The sequence below is a fragment of the Homo sapiens genome, chromosome 3 (assembly GCF_000001405.40).
Source record: "Homo sapiens chromosome 3, GRCh38.p14 Primary Assembly".
Taxonomy (NCBI): domain Eukaryota; kingdom Metazoa; phylum Chordata; class Mammalia; order Primates; family Hominidae; genus Homo; species Homo sapiens.
Window position 1 is genome coordinate 64626442 of NC_000003.12, and position 17142 is coordinate 64643583.

At 39.9% G+C, this 17142-nt stretch overlaps 1 protein-coding gene across 5 annotated transcripts in view, besides 1 other annotated feature; it reads right to left on the reverse strand.

The window, feature by feature from the left end:
- The window catches only part of ADAMTS9 (ADAM metallopeptidase with thrombospondin type 1 motif 9), a 172347-nt gene that overhangs the window by 110788 nt on the left and 44417 nt on the right, over positions 1-17142 (reverse strand). For all 5 annotated transcript variants that reach the window (XR_007095711.1, XR_245151.1, XR_007095712.1 and 2 more), the window contains 5 exons: positions 15407-15552; positions 7257-7438; positions 7031-7167; positions 5367-5484; positions 5014-5109 (listed from right to left, as the gene is read on the reverse strand). Coding sequence is in view for 2 of the 5 variants with exons in the window: in NM_001318781.2 (NP_001305710.1) it covers positions 5014-5109; positions 5367-5484; positions 7031-7167; positions 7257-7438; positions 15407-15552 (679 nt within the window). In the remaining 3 variants the exon portion in view is untranslated. The remainder of the gene's footprint in view (positions 1-5013; positions 5110-5366; positions 5485-7030; positions 7168-7256; positions 7439-15406; positions 15553-17142) is intronic.
- Positions 15858-16359: an enhancer, noted in NCBI's record as "H3K4me1 hESC enhancer chr3:64627975-64628476 (GRCh37/hg19 assembly coordinates)". NCBI's record gives its function as "activates a minimal SCP1, AML or CMV promoter by ChIP-STARR-seq in primed H9 embryonic stem cells {active_cell/tissue: H9 hESC(primed)}" and the evidence as "EXISTENCE:reporter gene assay evidence [ECO:0000049][PMID:30033119]".

Here is a 17142-nt window from a genome sequence, read left to right on the forward strand (position 1 = left end):
ATGTAAATTGCTCATTTTGTTAGTCTGCATGAGCCCTTGAGCAAAGCAGCCATTTAAAAATCCACTTTTTTGACTAATAGACATTGGAGAGTACCAAAGGTGGGAGGATAAAAGGAGGATAAGGGTTGAAAAACTACCTATTGGGTACAATGCTCATTATTTGGGTAATGGGTACTCTAAAAGCTCAGACTTCACCACTACCCAATATATGCACGTAAGAAACCTGTAGTCCTACCCCTTAAATATATAAGATGATAAAATACAAATTTACTTTTATAAGCCCAAGAAAGATCCCAACCCATAGTAGGTGCTCAATCGATGATGCTGAAAGAATAAGTGATTGATGGAGTCTGACACTCATGACAAGGAGGATAGAGTGCTTCCAGCCAAATGACTCTTTCTCAGTCAGTGTAAACCTCTGACAACCTCGTCTTGCCTGCAGCTCCTGCAGCGCGAGACCCATCAGCCATGAAAGAGGCAGGAGTTTCAATGGGTCACTGAAGCCAAGGTTGTTTCCGTGGCACCTTGGGCATCCTGAGGCTGCTCCCTAATGCGGGTCATTCAAATGGTGACAGTATGATGTGCTGTCAACAAAATCACCCAGTTCTTTCAAATGAAGTTGCATGCTAGCTACCCAGCTGATGTCTTGATAAAAAGGAGGAAATAAAAAGTCAGATGCCGGTTCTGTAAATCAAGTGATAATCCAGTGTGGTCATATGCAAAGAGTGATAGTCTATTCTGGGTTAATTTGGGGGGTCTTTTCCAATGTCTCCAGGTTTCCTTTCATGCTTTGCTGACTCAGGGCATTTCACCCTTCCATGCATATTCTTTATTCCAGTAGATGTGAGTAGGGAGAAAGAGAGGAGCACAAATGATATCGGATTCCTCTTACGATCTGCCGTGATAAATGGTTTGGCCCCAGACATCCTTAAAATCATCAGATGAAAAAAAAAAATCCTATTTTATCTTGCACTGCATCGATTCCCATCTTCCCATTGCCACAATTAATCAAGAGCTAAGTGTACTGGAGACAAATAAGTATCACAGAAATGGCTACTTTTTCTTCTAAAGAGATACGAACATGGTGGCCCTGGGTACAACTTGGCTTTAGCTCAACAGGAGGAAGGGGTCCATGTGAAAGGATGACCTTTGACAGGAAGGCTTCCTGCTTTGGTACTTTGTGAAACAAATAGTTTCCTGAAAACAAGAGCCTAATGCCCAACCTCCCACTAATGCGATTAAGGGAGCTAATTTCCTGGGTTGGTTTCCCTCCCATTGCACCCATCAGAGCTGGGTTGCTACAAAAGGCCCTCTCTCCTGGAAATTCCTCCCTCCTAGAATACACAGAAAAGTATGGCTTGGCTGACACTGAAAAAAAACATAAGGGATAAGGATGAATATTGCTTAGCAATGGAACAGCTGTGACTGGACTCAACGCGAGACTCAGTGTGGGTTGTAAAACCTTCTCAGTGCATGTGCTGCATCTTCCATCAAGCCAAGAGTAAATATTTACATATGCCAGACTTGATGACAACATCAAATTCTTCCTAACTTGTTGAGTAACCACCGTGAGGTTCAAAGGCTCTGAGGTCTCGACTTTCACACTCAGTGGACTGTGACTTGCAATGTAGGCTTGCACACTTTTCATTTGCTTCTAGAGAGACTTCCTTATGCCAACAGGTGACTTTCCCATTCTATTCCGTTAAAGTGTCATAACTGGCTCAGATTGCCTGTGCCAGATGACAAATCTTCCTTAATTTTGTTTTCATTCTTTACAAGGAGATTAAGAAACCTCCACTGAATAATAAAAGGTTATCAGGAGGCCCTCCCTGAATTCAGGTGCTTGATGTGCATTGATTAAGTTGACTTGAATTGAGGCCACTACTTGGAGGGAGATTGTTTTTCCAAGAAAGGGAAGAATAGCAGAGAATCCTTCTCTCTTTCGAAGAGAAGAAAGGAGCAACTCAACATGGCCTTCAGGTCTCAGGAAATTAATTTATAAAGCAGGCTGCATGCAATGCTGTTTCATTTAATTAGGAAGTAGTAAGGACACTGCAGCCACATGCTCAAATTTATAACCAAGTGTACAAAGAAAAATACTTGCCCCATTCTGCAGCTGTGCAAGGAGAAATGGATTCCCCCCCCAAAATAATTTGTAAACAGTCCTCCAAGAACTTTGTTAATTGTCTTATAAAGTTGTCACTCATTTGGATGTTTGGGGTAGTGAAAAGCTGATGTAGTGATTGAGTAATTAATTCCAAGTAAGGCTTTACGGCCCTTGAAAGAAGAGGTGAATGTACATTTTCAAGCTAACCCCATTCTCCATTAAGTGCACAGTAGGTAGTCATTAAAGACAGCATTGACAACGGCTGTTCAACAATTCAGCAATCATCTGCTTTGTACCAATCATATGTAGGCTTCATATCAGTAGCTGAAGATGTAAAGACCCTGCCCTAACTTTAAAACACTAGTGGTCGTATAATAAATATGTAACTAGTCTTGTCATCTCAGTTGATGACAACTCCATCCTTCCCATTGCTCAGGTTTTGACCTTGGAGTTTTGAGATTCCTTTGTACCTTTAGTCTTGTGTACTTTTAACTCCTTTGTACCTTTAACTCACACACTATGTTCAATCCATCAACAAGTCATATTGGTTCCAACTTCAAAAGATATCCAGAATCTAACTACATACTGCCACTTTCACTGCTCCCATTGGGGCCAAGCCACCAGCATCTCCCTCCTGGATTACTGCAATGATTTCCTAATCAATGGCACCGCTTCTGTCCTGTACACACTTCCCCCACCATCTCTTCTCAATGTACCAGCCAGAGTGCTCCTTTAAAAACATAAATGCAGTAAGACGTCATTCCTCAGCTCAAAACCTCCAGTGGCTCCTGATGTCTCTGAGTCCAAGCCAAAGTTCTTAAAATGGTTATATGGTCGTGTATGACCTAGTCTTGTTTAACCTTACCTAGGAGTGTCCTCTGTGCTCACTTGGCAACAGCCATACTGCCTCCGTCTTCCCTACTTCAAGGACTTTGCAATGGCTATTCCCTCTGCCTGGAATGCTCTTCCCCTAAATAGCTTATTATCTTGCTCTATGATTCAAACATTTCAACTCTACTGTCCACATCTCACCCTTGGTATCCCGATTTGCCTTAGGCTGCTCTGATTTCTAGCAGCACTTATCACTATAACACTATGGAGTTTTCTTATCTATCAGGTTACTGTTTATTGCCTATTGTTTATTGTCCCACTAAAAAGTAACGTCCAAGAAGACACAAATTTTTTTTTATCTGTTTTGTTCATTGTGCCTAGAACAGTGCCTGGCACATATTAAATAAGTGAGTGAGTGACTGAATGAATAGTGATAGCAAATGCCATAATGGAGTCATGTATAAATATCATACTTGATTAGCATGCTTAGCTGAAGGCTCACTGTCTATCTATGCAGCTTCATGTAGACATTCCAAAACAGAGATATAGACTTTAATTCAGTTCAACAAATACTCATTTACCAGCTGAATATGTCCAAATGCTTAGATTAAGGGCCTCTATACAGGTTGAATTCAGATGAATAAATAGAGTTCCTGCCTGGATATTACAATAAAGAAAGTACATTATTGCTTTTTAAGATTGACTGCCCAGCAAGACAGCTCTAATTTATTCTAGATCTGAGTGTAAGCCATGCGGCTGGGAAGAGTTTTGTGTAAGGTGATCAGTTAAATCCCTTTCAGTCATGACTCTACTCTCCATGTCCTCTTTCTTTTAAATGGCAATTAGGCAAATTTCACAATCACTTACAGCAATTTACAGAAAAACAAATTACAGTGAGACTGGGCTGGGCATGGTGGCTCATGCCTGGAATCTCAGCACTTTGGGAGGCCAAGGCAGGAAGATCGCTTGAGGCCAGGAGTTCAAGCCCAGCCTGGGCAACATAGTGAGACATCATCTCTATAAATAAGAAATAAAAATAAATAAAAAACAACTAGCTGTGCATAGTGGTGAGTGCCTATAGTCCCAGCTACTCAGGCTGAGGTGGGAGGATCACTTGAGCCTGGGAGGTTGAAGATGCAGTGAGCTGTGATCACACCACTGCACTCCAGCCTCGGTGACAGAGTGAGACCCTGTCCCAAAAATACAGGGAAGGGAACAACACACAATGGGGCTTGTGGGATGCAGGATGTGTGGGCAAGGGAGAGCATCAGGAAAAATAGCTAATGCATGCTGGGCTTAATACCTAGGTGAGGGGTTGACAGGTACAGCAAATCACCATGGCACACGTTTACCTATGTAACAAACCCGCACATCTTGAACATGTACTCCAGAACTTTAAGTTAAAAAATAAAAAAATAATAAAATAAGATGGGACTGGGCTGAGCAAACTGTTGAAAATCAACACAGGGTCATCGGCATGTTGTGGTTTAAATATAAGGAATAGATATGAATTAATCATGCACCTCAGTTCAGTGAGAAGAGGATAAAAAATCTGTATAGTATTGCTATTCTAGTAATGACTTGAGAAAAATACGTGTCACCATAGAAACTTTTGCAACGAACAGGCATAATGAAATACTGAATAAGTCTACCAGTGGTCTGCTACTGGTTAGAGCTGATAACATAAAAATTAAGTCAAGTAATGCTTCTAATAAAATATTTGCAAGTCAGTTCCCCACAGGACAGCTTTTTGAAAAGACTCAATGAGAGCAAGGATTTTATGCTAAACTTAGAGGATAAGTACTTTCAAAATTTGACTTGGGGCCTTTCTATTTTTTAAGATCCAGAGTAAATCCCTTGATATCAAATAGTGCAGCTACACAACTTTTCAATCAATACTCTGAGGGCGTATGTATGAGGGAGAAATACAATGGTGAATTTTGAGAGCCACTTATTTTATGAAAATCCATGACATCTGAAAGCTCTGCCTCTGCATGCCAGAGAAGGAAGGAAGCAGTATCTGGCCACTGCTCCATAGAACCAGAACTCGCAAGTAGTGAGGCATCCCATCTCACCTAAGTAGTTGTCATCGTCTGTTTCCCCTGAGAAACTGTGCTGCCGCACATCAATATTGGTAGCACCAGCTGGAATTCGGACCACAGTATTGTAACCTGAAAAGAATTTAGCAGAAATTCAGTACTCCACAGAATGGTTCACTTTCTCTAAGTATGGAATAAAAAGTGGACAACAAAGGAATAGAATATAATTCTCATATAATTCTATTAGGTGCCTTCTAGTCGATGGATAATCCACCATAACGAGACTGATTTTTATGCTCGACATTAATATTTTTGCATATTACATGTGGTTAACAATTTTCAAACTTTGACCATATTCCTTCTCATGGTTCTTAGGAGCAGATTCTTACCATAATGTACTGTATTAAATGTTCCTGCCACTGTTTTGCATGAAGAATTATCGCCACCACAAACCCCACATTTATCTCTCCGGGCTTTTGAGTTTAAAACATGATCGCATCCAGCTTGCTTTTAAAAAGAAAAGATTTGAAATAAATGTAAGCATTATAGAGATTATAAAATGGCAAATAATGTGTTTCTTTTAATCGTGTGCACTAAAAATGACAAGAAAGTCAAGTCCTTTAAAACTTGGAAAGGTTGAAAACTGAAATTATATACTGCCTTGCTATTTAAAATGTGGTCCTTGGACCAGCAGCCATGGGCACCTTTGATGTGGTCAGGAATGCAGAATTTCAGGACCCACCCAGATCTACTGGATCAGAGTTGGCATTTTAATAGGATTCCTCAGGTGCTTCATCTACAGATAAAAGTTTGAAAAGCACTAGTCTGTAAGTAAGCACAGTAATTTTTTAAAAAATTGCTTAGGAATGAAAAAAAAAGGGAATAGGTAAGAACTGTATCTAATTAAAGAGCTCATGCCCCATCTTAAGGGAGTAGCTGCTGTCCACTCCAGACTATTGCTGCCATGAGGGAATGGGAGCCCTGTGTTGACATTTTTTCCCAATTTTCCAAAGAAGCTGGAAAAATTGACTTTATGTAAAATCCCATACGTTTAAATATTGGCTATGAATGCCAGCCAAAGTATGACCATGGGCCTCCATTTTGAGGCCTGAGGCTCCATCGAGTGGCCTGCTGAATTTCTCCTCATATTAACACAATGCAGCCATGTACACTGAACTCTGAAACATACACTGACAATGACCAGAAGACCAGAAGAAGAGAGTCCACATTCTTGTCCGTTTTGTTCATTTGTGTGAACTAATCTTTGAGGAAAAACTCAATGTGTTGCTGTGAAATGGACAGACAAGGAAATCTGCAGTATAAGCTATTAGTCAGTGGGTGATGCCCTTAGGGGCTCTTTCAATCAAATCCTTCCAACCAGGAACTCCAATATGCCTTTGGACCACAGGCAAAAAAAAAAAAACAAACAAAAAAAACAACCAGAGGCATCATCTCAGAGCCCAACCGGGTTAGGAATAATTTTTGACTAACGAGAACGTTGAAATGGTATCTAGCCCCTGAGAAATCACTGCTCTGATGCTTTGCTGTTTCCCAGAAGTTTCTCAATTTCCCTTTCAAGAATAATTAATTAACAGGAATGTCTCAGGTAAAAATGATCGTGGTTAAAAATGCAAAGAGAAACTTGAGTGAGGCCAGCTCTTCTTCCTGACATATTTCTCACCCTCAGCTATTCAATCTAAAAAATTTGCTGTCAGGAAGCATTTGGGAAGCATTTGCTTAAGCACTGAGTTTATAGCAAAGGAGTGTGGGTGTAAATTGTTACAATAAATTTTTAAGGAGAGGTTTTGTGCAAGACCCCCACAGAGACTGAAAATGTCAAGAAAAATCCAGGGCAACGGCTCCCAAACTTTGGCACTACACGCATCAGAAAAAAGTGATATTGATGCTGTTGCTGATCCCGGGGCCACACTTTGAGAACCACTGCCCTGGCAACAGTGCACAGATACTAGCAGTTGCTATTCTATCTAGGAAGCCACAAATCACAGGTTGGCAGCGGGAAAACACAGTGAAGAAAACACCATCAAGGACTTACCCGGCAAAGGCCCTGGACACAGATATCATTTGTGTCCTGGCCACAAGGAGTTCCATCTATCACTCTGTCTCGAAGCTGATAGTAGGCTGTGTTCCCTGCCACTCTGCAGAACAACTTGCACCGGTCCTTCATCAGAACTAGAGAGGAGAAACAATACAACTTGACTTTTGTGCCTGGCCTCAGTGCCGGCCGGCCAACGGTGAACAGATACACCAGACACACTTACTTCCACTGTATTTAGGGACCCAGCGCACATTGGGAAGCAGACCGTTGATGTTAAAATGCTTCCCGTCAAAGTGAGCACACTGTTCATCTCGGAAGTCTCGCTTCTGCTTGAGACATGGCTCCGTGTTGCAGGACTTAAATTTCATTCTACGTCCTACACAGTATTTTCCACCATTTTTTGGTCTGAAAAAGAAAAAATGTGAAGAGCACACACACTGTATTATCATGTATTCCTCTGAACATCACTCCTTCATTCATGACTTCCTGTCTTCTAGAGAAGTAAATCTAGGGTGGCAAATGACAGAGGAATGGGCAAGAGCTCTGATCCCTGGTTTTGCATCCTGCCTTCAATACCATGATGTGTATAACCTTGGGTAAGTCACTTGGCCTCCGCAATCTTCCCTTATATTTGCAAAATGGGATGTAGCTATCTTGTAGGCTGTTGTGAGAATAAATGTTAGAATGTATAGCTTAAAATATGAGATGCGAAGCCTGAATCTGAATCTATTAGGCCACTTTTTGTTCCTTTTCTTCCCAACATTCATGGTGCTTCAATGTTTAAAATGTAGAAGGTGAAAGGTACCCAAGAGTAGTTTGGAATGCTCCCTATCTTCCTTTTGTACCTTGACATATTCACAGGAGACCATCATAAACTTGTTCCCTCACACCTCCATTCATTCTGTCCCTCTACTCCCTCTCTCCAGACAACCATTGTTTTTGCTTTTTTGTTTCACAAATAAAATGGAATAATGGGAATGTGTTCATATTTTGACTAACTTAAGAGGAGAAGCAGGAAAGAGCATACTGGTTTCATTAGCTTTTGTGTGACGAGTGTATGGCATACGCCTTGCAAAGCATCACAGTGCAAATTTAATCTCCGCATGCAACCCTGTGCATGTATATTCCAGATGTGATCCAGAGAGTAAATTATACAACACATCTACCAGCAGTCAGCAGCATGCCAAATTCATCATGGAAACAGGAAGATCACAGAATCGTAGGACGTTGGGGCTCACTCACCCAGGGCTGAAACAGCTCGGGTTTCACAACTGCCCTAGGACAACCCTGCAACTGAAAGGACATTTTTCACCCTTTTTCCTTTAGAATGAATCTTTCAGAGTAATCTGGACTATAAAAAATGGGTTTTTGGCTGCTTTGTTTCAAACAGGAGTTTTGGGGAATGAGAAATATATCCCTGCTCACGAAATATAGAATGAGAGGTAGAAAGAGCTCTAGAGTTGGATCTTGGTTCCAATCTGGCCCTATCCTCACTGTGTGGCCCTAGACTAAGTTCTCAGTCTTCCTGAGCTTCAATTTTTCCCCTTCTTTACAATAAGTGCACATAGTAGATGCCATAAAATGTTACCTACTATGATACTTCATGTCAACACTGCCCAATCTAATCTGATCCAATTCTGCAGTTGGCTTGAGCACCCACTCTGAGCACCGAGGCAGGACTCAGTGCTCCTGCAGCGTGCCCAGGTCCCACAAAGGCCCTCCTAGAGAAGCTTGTCCTGATACTGTTATAAACGTACTTGCTCGATCAAAGATTTGCAACATGAAGTAAGAGCACCAGCTTTGCAGTTACAAGCTGGGGAGGGTGACTTTGTGTAAGCTGTCTCACCTTCCTGGGCTCTATCTTCACATGTAAAACAGAGACGATGCTGTGTACTTAAAAGGCTTGTTGTGACTCTGAGGAACTTAGCAAGAAGTCTGATCAACATTCACCATTATTTATCATAAGGAAGACTGCATCTAGGGATGTAAAATGGCACATAACACAGTCGTGTCTACGTCTGTCTGTTTCTGCATTAAGCACAATTAAGCCCATATACTGTATATCTGCACTATTCATTCAAACTGGGAAATCTCCTTCATATCTTGTCCAAGGCTAGGGAAGATGAGGTGCTTTTATACCAAGTGACAGGACGTTTAGAGAAGTACTTTGCCCAAAGGTCACACAGCTAACAAAGGAGCAGAGTCAGGACTGGAATCCAAGTCTCCCAGACTCTTCTCTGTGCACGTCTGCTACATTATCCATATGCTGTGTTTCAGAGTCTTTTTTTTTCTTTTCTTTTTTGGTGCCATTTAGAGATGCAGAATGGGTTTCCTAGATCCAAGCCCTTTTCTCAGTACCAAGGCACCCCAGTCTCATGCATAAAATATCACAGATGACCCATGAATAATAGATCAGGACTGTATACCTGCTCAGGTAAAACTTGTTTCAAATGTGCTACAAGGAAGACCCCCTTCAATTTTTCCTCCAGTTGAAATTATCTTTCTGGAATCTTTTTAGATGTCCCAGCTGACTATGGTGGATCAATCATTTATTTATTGCCTGAAAGTAACTCATACTTCTTTCCCTTTGAACATAAAGTTTTTTAAATTGATTTTTTTTGTTCTCTTATATGACACGTCTTAGCTGATTCTTGAAATTTATCAAATGCAGCAGTTCTTCGGACTGCAAATAGTTATTATTTATAGGTGGCTTCCCTTCAGATGGTAACAGTTTCCACCTTTGCTTGCTTTGACCACTATAACATGGCAAGTAGTATTTTGGGATTTATTTTTATAAAAAACATTTTTTATAAACACACAAAAAATACTGTATGTGAGAGGCAATACTCCTTATGGTTAGAAACATGGACTCTGGAAACAGAGGGTTTGAATCCCAGCTATGCCTCTTAATAATGATGCAATATTAGGCGAGTTGCTTAATCTTGCCAAGCCTCCGTTTGCTTATCTGTAAAAGGGAGATGATACTAATATCTATTTCATAAAGCTGTAGTGAGGGTTAACTAGATTAATACATTCAAAGCACTTGCACAAAGTGTGGCTCACAGTAAGTGATTAATAAAAGTTTAGCTATTACAAGATTTGGCAAACTACCATCCTGTGGGCCAAACCCAGCCCGCCATTGATTTTTGCATGGTTTGTGAGCTAAGAATAAGTTTTAAATTTTAAAGTAATTGAAAAAAATTTTTACAAAGAAGAAGATTTTGGGACACATGTGAACTATGGGAAATTCAAATTTCAGTGTCCATAAATAAAGATTTATTGGAACACAGCCACACCCACATTGTCTGTTTGTTTCTTCGTATATCAGTAAGGTTGAGTAATTGTGATGGAGACCACATAAACCTCAAAGCCTAAAGTATTTACTATTTGGCCCTGATGGAAAAGGTTTCCTGATCCCTGGACTATTCTTGTGTCACTGTCCTACGTTCCAAATTCTGTCACTGACTTTGCTGAGAGGGGAGCCCAACCCAACTCTCCCTGACCAGAAGCTCAAGACCTGGCCTCTCTTCCAGGCTGTCTCCCTTGAGACAGGCCTCTTTCCATATCAAAAGTTGGTCTGCAAGTTGATTTGCTTTTATGTAAAGGCAGGTTACAATTTCTTCCTTAATTATTGACATGACTTTAACAAATATAAATTGGCCTTCTGAACTACATATGTTTCCTCTCTCCCAGATTGCTGCCTGATTTACATGGACTATGTAATAGAGAAAGCTTCAGCCAACCAAACTCATCTTTCAGCATGGAAAAAAATCATTTTATAATTTAATTATTTAGCTGAATAGGAGTATTTTTTCTAGTAGGCAAATATTGAAAATAATAGGAAACATAGCTTTAAAAAATAGTAGCCACACTTCCCAACTATTAAGATCCTTTTAAAATATTGCATGTCAAATAGGGATAGGGAGGGTTTAAGGAAATTGCTAGAGTAATTACTATTCTGCACAGCCAAATTGGATCTTTCTTTCAAGCACATATTACACAGCCATGCCTGTTAATACATAGAAAGGAAATTCAAGATGATGCATGACCAAAGCTATAAAGAAATTTTTGCAGAGGTCATCACAGGTACAGTCTATCCTCAAGGAAAGCTAAACTTTGGTCTGCAAAAGGGTTTGAACAGAAATCAACTTCTACGTTTAGGTACGATGAATTAGGGTAGTCAGATTTAGGGTTGGCACAAGACATTTCTAAAGATACAACAGGCAGCCCCAGAAGGTAGTGTAATTCCTGTGCCTGGAGGTTTTTAAGAAGGGGCCTGATGGCCAATTATGAAGAATGCTGAAAGGCTATTCAAAGATTAGATGGGATGGGGTGGGAGCTGTACCAGCCCATCTTTAATGATCTTTCCAAATGGGGCAGTCTATGAAACTGGATTCTTTTACTTATTCATTAGTTAATGGCTCTTCCACAGTAACCAATTCTCAACATTTCGAAACAACTTCATCCAAACTGAGTGCCTCAGAAAAAGCCTTGCTGTAATTCCTTACAGCCAAATGAGAAATTCATTTTTTTGGATGAAATAGACATATGTCTTAAATATGTTTTTAAAGTAAGATTTCATAACCAGTTGCTATGGAGAGAGCCTAAGGGGGAAATATCTAGTTCATAATCCTTTTAACCCTCAAATCTATGAGTTTATTATTTTTAAATTTTAACCTATCTCCTAATTTAAAAGTAAAATAGAAGCACTGGAAAAAGAAAATGCTGTGTCTTTCCTAAGGAACTGACACGATTTTTGTTTTTGATGGACTGTAACAATTCTACGTACCATTTTGTTTCAGCCACAAGGAAGCTCTGAGCCAAATTTTGAGCACAAAACAAGTATAGGGCCCAAAAGCCTGAAAATACATCTTCTAGTTCCAAAGCTCAGTCTGGTTTTGGTACTGTTAAGCTATGTTTTGGAGGTTCTGATTTTAAATTTTACTCTATTACACACGTCTTATAGGCTGGGTGACCGTGTAATTAATTGCCCAATCAAGAACGTTCTGAGAGTGAAAATGGGAGCTATTAATAATTCCTTCAGGGCAACAGATAGAACAAGGGACTGTCCTTGTAAACCAGAACTATGATCATCTTATCTGTAGGGCATGGATCAAAATTGAGATTAAAAAAATAAAGCACTTAAAGACAAAATATGAGGGCCCCACCTGTAACACCATATATACCAGTTGAGACCAAAATATCTTGTGACCAAAATTAGAAAGCGTATGGTCTCTACAGCTTGTTCATGGAGTAGAGCATAATCTCATGTACACGGCAAGGCTACTTATCTTTTTTGGCTTTTACGCTTTCAGGGGGAAAAAAACTCTTAAGAATATACTATAAAGTCTCTGGATGCTAAATAAATACACTCTTGAATCAGATAAATATTGTGAAAAAAGAAAAAAAAAATCCAGTGTCCTTAATAGAGACATACCTTGTACCTTGGATTCTAAAAACAGAGCTCTCCATTATATTGTAAGGGCTCGTCGAACTGACAAAAGGCATATTCCCAGTGAGGGGGGCAGCTGTTCCCCTCAAACTCCTTGAGAAGCATGACAGCAACCACTTCTACGTTCTACATAATGAACCATCTGCTCTGTGAATTTCTCTGAACAAGCTTTTAAACTGAGATTTGGATCTGATTTTCCCTTTTCTGTGTTCCTTTCTCTTTTCAAATTGACTCCCCCAGAGCCATTGTAACCTCCGTATTCAGAGGCAGTCTCCTTCCTCAATTAACAGGGACATCCTAAAGTGCAAATAACTTGGAGGAGTTTTAATGAAATGATGTCAGTGCTGACACTCAACTAGGTGGATTGTTTTTTTTTTTTTTTTTTTAAAAAAAAAAAAAAAAAAACCTCCCATAGCAAACAGCAGGGACAAGGACCTCTAATTGAGGTCTTTAATGATCGGTTCTTAACTTCTGAATGTGAGGATCTTTGTTGCACTTTGAAGCTCAAGATCCTTTTCTGCTGAGATCTTTACACTGGGTGATTTTCTTTGTCTAGCCCATTCCAATTACGGAGTGATTTATCTCTCTCCACTTTTCACATTACTTCTAGAATTGCTCAAGACTTAACAAAGTATTATTTTAAAAAAGGCCAAACACTTCTTTTGAATGGAATATCCTTGAGTCAAAAATGTTTAAAGTGCTTATAAAGTGGTCACTGTTTGCAATATCCATACCCTCATGATAGCATTTACTATAAACTAATAACTTTGCTCAATGTAGCCACCAAATAGTTTTTAATATGTAAAAAATTCATCATATTAGTTGTTACGATACAAGGTTTTCTTTTAAAGCTTCAACAATACAAGCAACAAGGATGCATAGCTGAGTTTAAAAAGCAGTACCAGCCTTCTTTTATATTATATGATACTTATTTTATATTATGTGGTACTTATTTCATATAATATGTATTTACATCCACAATCTGAAAAGTCTGAAATGACACACACTGAATTACTTTTCAGTGATTATTTCTCATGGGGAGTAGGCAGGAAGTAGGAATAGTGTGACAACTTCTAAAATATTCTATATGTTTGTGTCTGAATTTTTTGAAGCATGATCTATATTTATACTAATATTTAAAAAACTAATTCAAAATATAGGCTATATAGAAAATCTAAGGCTTATTCATTTTTATCCATAGCTACAGTGTTAGTTTTATGGAACAGAGTCTGTATCTCACAGCCCTTTAGTTATCTTCCTTATTGACCACTACATGGACATGAAATAAGGTTGGGTTATGAACAAAAATAACTTAATTAATCATCATCTGTGATTTGTAGTACAGAGTACTGAGACCAGGGCTTGCAAACCAGTTGCCTACAGCTATATTCTTTTTGATTCACACAATTCAGATTTTTCATAGAAAAGATTCGGAAGCTTTGCCAATATTAGACTCTTTTCTCACTGCCGAACAATCAGCCAGACCTGAGTAGTGCCCTGCACTTGGTCTCTACAATACAACTATTGTATTACCCCAGCCTACTTAGTTCCTTTACTTCACCTGTTTGCTTCTCAGTACAATAGAGTTTGCTATCCGTGATCTAAGCTATTAAAAATAAATGAGACTGCTAGGGGAAATCATTTTACAAAATCCCAAAGCAGCTGGGGTCTTAAAAATGGTTGTTGGTTTTTACATCAAAAAATTGTTCCTATAGACTTCTTGGTTCCCAGCCTAAATAGGTTCCATGGCAAGTCTGAGGAAGTGCCATACAAACTATTACTTACTTTTACTTACCTATTATTTTCTATTCCTTTTCAACTATGTATGTCTTAGATCCATGTAAAATTGGATGTCATTTTTTATAATGAAGATAGCAATTTATTATCTATAAACAACCTTCCCCCACCCTCCACCCCGCCCATGTCTGCTATGACAAATGCTGGGAAAAAAGTCCATGGACTTTATTTAAACATGTCAGTCCTAACAAGGTTAGGCTGGTAGAGGTTGCCATGGTCACACAATGAGAATTATTCTGAAAGGCAAGAGACTCCCAATCTGTAAAATGTCAGGTTGTGGGATGGGGACCTCAGCTGTCTCACCTGTAATACAACTAGATTGATTAAAAAAGTAATTCCTTATCACAGAACACATTATTGGTGGGAAAAAAAGAAAAAAAATAAAAAGTAATTCTTGATTTGGGGTCCCAGGTCCCTTGAGGTCTAACTAGAAGGAATATATTAGTCTACAAACTGGATGAAAATGTCCAATTTTTTTGTTTCCATGTGAAAATCTATCTAGTCACTCCATTAGTGTGCTATCTTTTTTTTTTTTGCCTGCTTTTTTTTTGTTTTGTTTTGTTTTGTTTTTGCTTTTTTGTTGTTTTTTTATTTTTATTTTTTATTATTACTATACTTTAAGTTTTAGGGTACACGTGCACAATGTGCAGGTTAGTTACATATGTATACATGTGCCATGCTGGTGTGCTGCACCCATTAACTCGTCATTTAGCATTAGGTATATCTCCTAATGCTATCCCTCCCCCCGCCCCCCACCCCACAACAGTCCCCAGAGTGTGATGTTCCCCTTCCTGTGTCCGTGGGTTCTCATTGTTAAGCTCTGAGTGTAGCAGGGAGAGTGAGACCTGCCTGATTGTCAACACTAGGAAACAGACCGACCACAAAACCATCACCTGTTTGGTAGATAAAACTTTGAATAACAAAGGATCTTGAGAGTAAACAATAATACAGGGGGAAGTGCCTGGGAATAGACTTTGGGTACCGTGGGTCTAAGCAGCCCTTGAAGTTTACGTTCTTTCTAGCTCTCTAAGTTGGAATGTACTCTTCACCCACCAAATTATTCCCTTTAGGAATTTCATGTTCCTGCCACGGCAGTAATAACAGTTATACATTCTAGGACTTACTCTGGTCTGTTGCACTCTCGAATGGCTGTTTTGATGCCCCCTCCACATGTTCTGGAGCAGGTTCCAAAGGGACTCCAACTTCCCCAGGATCCATCTGTCACGGGGACATCCATTTCTTTGGGAACACAAAATCCATACTTGCAGTGCTGTATTTAATAAGGGGAATAGTGAGGGAGACTTGGCGCTGTGAGTTGTTACAGGACTGGCTGTCCTTTTAAACACACCATACTGTAATTCTTTTCCATGTGTGGGTTTGAAATGCTGCAGGTTCATCATCTATATGAATAATGGAAGCTATAGGGATTTTAATCTCACACTTAGTGATTTTAGGCTGGGTCTTCCTTTACAGCTTGCTTGAATAAAACTGGCCAGTGACTGGCTCCAGGCTGACAGGGTAACTCCAATGGCAAGCTTCAAACCACTCAATTAGTTTACTTGGAAAAACCAGGAGTGGAAATGGGAAGGGTGGTTATAGACAGGGCCAAAATGAGTTATAAGATTTGCATAGTGAATTTCCATCAACAAGGCCTAGAGAAGTTACAAGTCTGGTAAACTATAATGCTTTATTGCTCCCAATTTTAATTATATTGGAGAGGGGGGAAAAAAAAAGCGAGTTACATGATTCTTATAAACACACTCCAGGAAAGCGTCAGGATGAGACGAAAGCAAAACGGACACACTACAGAGAGCCCTAAACTTTATGACTTGTTTGTTACTAGCGGTTTCAGATTCTCCAGCCTGGAGCAGGAAGAAGGCCATGACGTTTAAAAAATAATAATAAAACAAAATAAAACTCCTCAGCAGGACAAGGGAGGAGAGAAGCCATTCCGACCCTCTGCCATTGTTGGGGTGTGAAGCCCTGACACAAAGCCGAGGTCACTGAGCAGTGGACAAAGGAAAAGTGGCGGCAGTGGCCACAGGAGGGTGACGCCCCGCGGCTCGCTCAGATCTCTGAAGCGGAGCTGGTGGCGACTGTCGTGATTTATCCCCAGGGAGGACACAGCCACCAAGAGGGGAGAGGCAGAGAGGTCTGAAGGCCAGGGGGTGGGGCAGTATGCAGGGAAGGTGGAAAAAGAAGAGGTAGGTGAAGGTCTCAGTGGGAATAGCAGGCCCCACCCCCACACAAGGCTTGGTAAACAATTATTTAAACAGTGCAATTAAGCTTTCTCCAGTCTGCCTGGCCTCCTCCCTTGTAATTATCCTCTTACAGTATCTGAGGGCACGTCCCTTTCCCTGGGCTGTTTGGCTGAGGCTTAAGATGTTCTGCATCTGAACCCTGGGTGACTCAGGACCCATGAAATGCGCACTGAGGCAGTGGGGACTACGTCGCTCTCTGGAAATCACTTCATATTTGTCTTTACAGTGGTTGTGAACATTTCTTAGAAAATATACATATAAAAATAAATGAACAGATGGACGGCTTTGTCTAGAGTACCTCTGTCCAGTAGACACAGAACATGAACCACATATATAATTTAAGAATTTCTAAAGTCACATAAAAAACTAATAAAAAACTTAAATTAATTTTAATATATTTAGCCCAATCTATCTAACACATTGTTATTTCTACATGTAGTCAACATAACATTACTCAATAATTTTTTTTTTTTTTTTTTTTTTTTTGAGACAGAGTCTTCCTCTCTCACCCAGGCTGGAGTGCAGTGGTGCAATCATGGCTCACTGCAGCCTCAACGTCCCAGGCTCAACTGATCCTCCCACCTCAGCCTCCCAAGTAG